Consider the following 5,936-nt stretch of genomic DNA (forward strand, 5'->3'; position numbering starts at 1 on the left):
GCAGCTAGCTCTCCAACTTCTGTCCCTCACGGCCAGTTTTTCTCCTTCACTTCGGTCACTCCCACCTACTCCCCCACTGAAACTTCCACCTATCAATCTCTTCCCACACAAGGCAAATGGTTCTTAGACCAAGGAAAATGTCTTCTTCCAGCCTCACAGGCCCATTCTATTCTATCATAATTTCATAACCTCTTCCATGTAGTTTACAAGCCGCTAGCCTGTCTCTTAGAACCTCTCATTTCCTTTCCATCATGGAAATCTATCCTCAAGGAGATCACTTCTCAGTGTTCCATCTGCTATTCTACTACCCATCAGGGATTGTTCAGGTCTCCTCCCTTTCCTACACATCAAGCTAGGGGATTTGCCCCTGCCCAGGACTGGCAAATTGACTTTACTCACATGCCTCGAGTCAGAAAACTAAAATATCTCTTAGTCTGGGTAGACGCTTTCACTGGATGGGTAGAGGCCTTCCCCACAGGGTCTGAGAAGGCCACTGCGGTCATTTCTTCCCTTCTGTCAGACATAATCCCTCGGTTTGGCCTTCCCGCCTCTACACAGTCTGATAACGGACCGGCCTTTACTAGCCAAATCACCCAAGCAGTTTCTCAGGCTCTTGGTATTCAGTGGAACCTTCATATCATTTACCGTCCTCAATCTTCAGGAAAGGTAGAACGGACTAATGGTCTTTTAAAGACACACCTCACCAAGCTCAGCCTCCAACTTAAAAAGGATTGGACAGTACTTTTAACTCTTGCTCTTCTCAGAATCAGAGCCTGTCCTCGAGATGCTACAGGGTACAGTCCATTTGAACTCTTATATGGACACACTTTCTTGCTTGGCCCCAACCTCATCCCAGACACCAGCCCTCTAGGCAACTATCTTCCAGTCCTCCAACAGGCTAGATAGGAAATTCACCAGGCTGCTAATCTTCTCTTGCCTACTCCAGATCTCCAGCCATATGAAGACACCCTAGCTGGACGATCAGTTCTTGTTAAGAATCTGACCCCTCAAACTCTACAACCTCGATGGACCAGACCCTACTTAGTCATCTATAGTACCCTGACTGCCGTCCGCCTGCAGGATCCTCCCCACTGGGTTCACCATTCCAGAATAAAGCTGTGCCCATTGGACAGCCAGCCTAATCCCTCCTATTCCTCCTGGAAGTCGCAAGTACTCTCCCCTACTTCCCTTAAACTCACTAGCATTTCTGAACAACAGTAATAACCCTTATGAGTCTAATATATCCCTTCATTCTATTAGGTCTGTTCATCCTTACCCTACTTTTTGCAACAAGGCTTTACGAAGTCACCCCCACCACTTAGGCCGAGCCCCAAAAACTAGTCATCCCTACTATCTTCTGTCTGGTCATACTCCTATTCTTCATTCTCAACTACTTATAAATGCCCTACTCTTGTTTACACTGCCGGTTTATATCTCTTGGTGCTATCCCCAAACTGCCACTCTTAACTCCCTCTTAGAGTGGATAGATGATCTTTGCTGGCAAGGCACCCTCCAATACTTCCACCCTGATGAAGTTCTATTCTTTACTTTTATACTCACTCTTATTCTCATTCCCATTCTTATGTCACCCTCTACCTCGCCCCAGCTATCTCCACCACACTATCAACCTTACCCATTCTCTCCTAGCCGATTCTAATCCCTCCTTAGTGAACAACTGCTGGCTTTGCATTTCCCTTTCTTCCAGTGCCTACACAGATGTCCCCGCCTTACAGACAGACTGGGCAACATCTCCCATCTCCCTACACCTCCGAACTTCCTTTAACAGCCCTCACCTTCACCCTCCTGAAGAACTCATTTACTTTCTAGACAGGTCCAGCAAGACTTCCCCAGACATTTCACATCAGCAAGCTGCTGCCCTCCTTTGCACTTATTTAAAAAACCTTTCTCCTTATATTAACTCTACTCCCCCCATATTTGGACCTCTCACAACACAAACTACTATTCCAGTGGCCGCTCCTTTATGTATCTCTCGGCAAAGACCCACTGGAATTCCCCTAGGTAATCTTTCACCTTCTCAATGTTCCTTTACTCTTCATCTCTGAAGTCCAACTACACACATCACTGAAACAATTGGAGCCTTCCAGCTCCATATTACAGACAAGCCCTCCATCAATACTGACAAACTTAAAAACATTAGCAGTAATTATTGCTTAGGAAGACACTTGCCCTGTATTTCACTCCATCCTTGGCTACCTTCCCCTTGCTCATCAGACTTTCCTCCCAGGCCCTCTTCTTGTTTACTTATACCCATCCCCGAAAATAACAGTGAAAGGTTGCTTGTACATACTCAAGGTTTTCTCATATACCATGAAAATCGAACCTCCCCTTCTATGCAGTTACCCCATCAGTCCCCATTACAACCTCTGACACCTGCCGCCCTAGCTGGATCCCTAGGAGTCTGGGTACAAGACACCCCTTTCAGCACTCCTTCTCATCTTTTTACTTTACATCTCCTGTTTTGCCTCATACCAAGGTCTCTTCTTCCTCTGTGGATCCTCTACCTACATGTGTATACCTGCTAATTGGACAGGCACATGTACACTAGTCTTCCTTACCCCCAAAATTCAATTTGCAAATGGGACCGAAGAGCTCCCTGTTCCCCTCATGACACCGACACGACAAAAAAAAAGCTATTCCACTAATTCTCTTGCTGGTCGGTTTAGGACTTTCTGCCTCCACTATTGCTCTCGGTACTGGAATAGCAGGCATTTCAACCTCTGTCACGACCTTTCGTAGCCTGTCTAATGACTTCTCTGCTAGCATCACAGACATATCACAAACTTTATCAGTCCTCCAGGCCCATGTTGACTCTTCAGCTGCAGTTGTCTTCCAAAACCCCCGAGGCCTTGACTTACTCACTGCTGAAAAAGGAGGACTCTGCATATTCTTAAATGAGGAGCGTTGTTTTTACCTAAATCAATCTGGCCTGGTGTATGACAACATAAAAAAACTGAAGGATAGAGCCCAAAAACTTGCCAACCAAGCAAGTAATTACGCTGAACCCCCTTGGGCACTCTGATTGGATGTCCTGGATCCTCCCAATTCTTAGTCCTTTAATACCCATTTTTCTCCTTCTTTTATTCGGACCTTGTATCTTCCGTTTAGTTTCTCAATTCATCCAAAACTGTATCCAGGTCATCACCAATCATTCTATACCACAAATGTTTCTTCTAACATCCCCACAATATCACTCCTTACCACAAGACCTCCCTTCAGCTTAATCTCTCCCACTCTAGGTTCCCACGCAGCCCCTAATCCCGCTTGAAGCAGCCCTGAGAAACATCGCCCATTCTCTCTCTCCATACCACCCCCCAAAAATTTTCGCCGCCCCAACACTTCAACACTATTTTGTTTTATTTTTCTTATTAATATAAGAAGGCAGGAATGTCAGGCCTCTGAGCCCAAGCCAAGCCATCGCATCCCCTGTGACCTGCACATATACGCCCAGATGGCCTGAAGTAACTGAAGAATCACAAAAGAAGTGAATACGCCCTGCTCCACCTTAACTGATGACATTCCACCACAAAAGAAGTGTAAATGGCCGGTCCTTGCCTTAACTAATGACATTACCTTGTGAAAGTCCTTTTCCTGGCTCATTCTGGCTCAAAAAGCACCCCCACTGAGCATCTTGCGAACCCCACTCCTGCCCACCAGACAACAAACCCCCTTTGACTGTAATTTTCCTTTACCTACCCAAATCCTATAAAATGGCCCCACCCTTATCTCCCTTCCCTGACTCTCTTTTTGGACTCAGTCCACCTGCACCCAGGTGATTAAAAGCTTTATTGCTCACACAAAGCCTGTTTGGTGGTCTCTTCACACGGACGTGCATGAAAATAACTACATCAACTTTCCTTTGGTTACTGTTTGCAGTGTTGTAGCTCTTTCTTATAAGCATCCCATAGTTCCTTTTCCAGTCTGACTATCTTAACCTTCACATACTTGAAGAACTGAGTCCATTTACTTATTATGTAATGACTGATAAGGCTGGTTTATGTCTGCCATTTTATCATTTACTTTGAACTTGACTCAGTTGTTTTATATTTCTTGCTTCTCCTTTCTTGTGTTATTTAGAATTAATCTATTATTTTATTAGTTCTCCCTTTTTATCCCTAAAACTGTATTAGTTAATAGATAATGAATGATACAATAAACCAAGATTCCTGGAATACTACTTAAAGGGGAATTTCTAATCTTAAATACATTTATTAGAAAAGAAGAAAGGTTGAAAAGTCAAAGATCTAAAATTTTATCTGAAGAATATAAAACAAGAAAATTAAATCAAATCCAAAAAGACAGAAGAAAGAGAATAGTAAAGATAATAGCTGATATCAATAAAGTAGGGGAATATATAAAATAGAGAAATTAATGCAATCAAAATTTGGTTATGAGATATCAGAGAAAATGGCAGAATAGGAAACTGCTCCAAAAAGGCAATAAAAAAAGCTGGTAAAAACTGTCAGAAGCAAATGTTTAGATCTCTGAAACAAACCAAGAGCCTGTAACAAGCAGGGCAAAATGTTTAATCAAGAAAAAACACCGGAATCTCAGTAAGAATAGCAACCTTTGTGGTCTTTTAATTTCCCCGGTCCTACATCCTGCTCCTCAGTTTGGCAACAACCCCGAAGAAAAAAGTTTACAGTCCCAGCACAGACACAAGTACCAGAGGAAGCAGAATAGGTCTCATTCACAAAGAACTGTGGTTGGTTACTTAACCTGTCTAGTAGCACCCTGGAGAACTGGCTCAAAGGGGTTGTCTTTATCTCAGCTTACCTGACATTCTCCCAGGTCTGAAGCAGCTAACAACAGAACCTCTGTTGAAAACAGAGGCAAATGTATTTGCTGCTGCTCCCTGGGGCAATGGATAATCACTGGGATGAAAAACAAACTCACCAAAAGCTTGAGAGGAAAGGCTAAAGAATAGGATTCTTTGGGAAGAATAAAGACATTGAAAATCTATAACATATCCTAAAAGCCTAGGAGTCCACCCACATGCCCAGGGCTGGGTACATACTCAGAAAAGCCCTGAGAATACATTGGCTTTTCACCTATTCTATGCCTGAACTTCAGGCTCTGCAGAAGCCAGAAGTGAAAGCTAAATCAGGATTGTAAATCACCCAGACATGCCCCCAATACACAGAGTCCATTTGCAAAGACTCAGGATTTTTTTTTCTTTCAGGCATATATGATATTTCTGTTCAATGAGTAGCTGATCATTAAGCTAATGGAACATAAACTACAGTGAACACACATGACAAAAAATACAGACTTTACACAATTGGTTCAAAAAAGTCACTAAACAAACGACTACTACACCAAGAAGCAGTATGATCCTGGGAAGAAAGAAAAACTGATTTATAGAGCTGTTACATGATAATACTCAAAATGTCCAATCTTTAACAACAAAAAAAATCACAAGGCATAAAAAGAAATTTTTTAAAAGTACGGTCCATACATAAGGAAAAAAGCAAGTAATTAATAACAGCTGTCCCTGAGGAAGTCCAGACATAAAACTTACTAGAAAAATACTTATATCAGTTATTTAAAATATGCTAAAAAAGCTAAAGGAAAGCATATATAAGGAACTAGAGAGAAGTCCTAGACAGAACAATTAAGCAAGAGAAAGAAATAAAGGGCATCCAAACTGGAAAAGAGGAAGACAAACTATCTCTGTTTGCTGATGATCTTAACCTCGAAAACTCTAGAAGACCCCTCCAAAAGACCCCTAGATCTGAAAAATGAATTCTGTAAAGTCTCAGGTTACAAAATCAATGTAAACAAGACAGTAGCACTGCTATACACCAACAACAATCAAGCTGAGAATCAAATCAAGAACTCAATTCCTTTTACAACAGCTACAAAAAATAAAATAAAATATCCAAGGAAGTGAACGATTTCTACAAAGAGAACTACAA

The 5,936-nt window shown here is 42.2% G+C and overlaps 1 annotated feature.

Annotated features, from left to right (window-relative positions):
* Positions 2,874 to 3,605: an enhancer, noted in NCBI's record as "NANOG-H3K27ac hESC enhancer chr1:5112177-5112908 (GRCh37/hg19 assembly coordinates)". NCBI's record gives its function as "activates a minimal SCP1, AML or CMV promoter by ChIP-STARR-seq in naive H9 embryonic stem cells {active_cell/tissue: H9 hESC(naive)}" and the evidence as "EXISTENCE:reporter gene assay evidence [ECO:0000049][PMID:30033119]".

The sequence above is a fragment of the Homo sapiens genome, chromosome 1 (assembly GCF_000001405.40).
Source record: "Homo sapiens chromosome 1, GRCh38.p14 Primary Assembly".
Classification (NCBI taxonomy): Eukaryota; Metazoa; Chordata; class Mammalia; order Primates; family Hominidae; genus Homo; species Homo sapiens.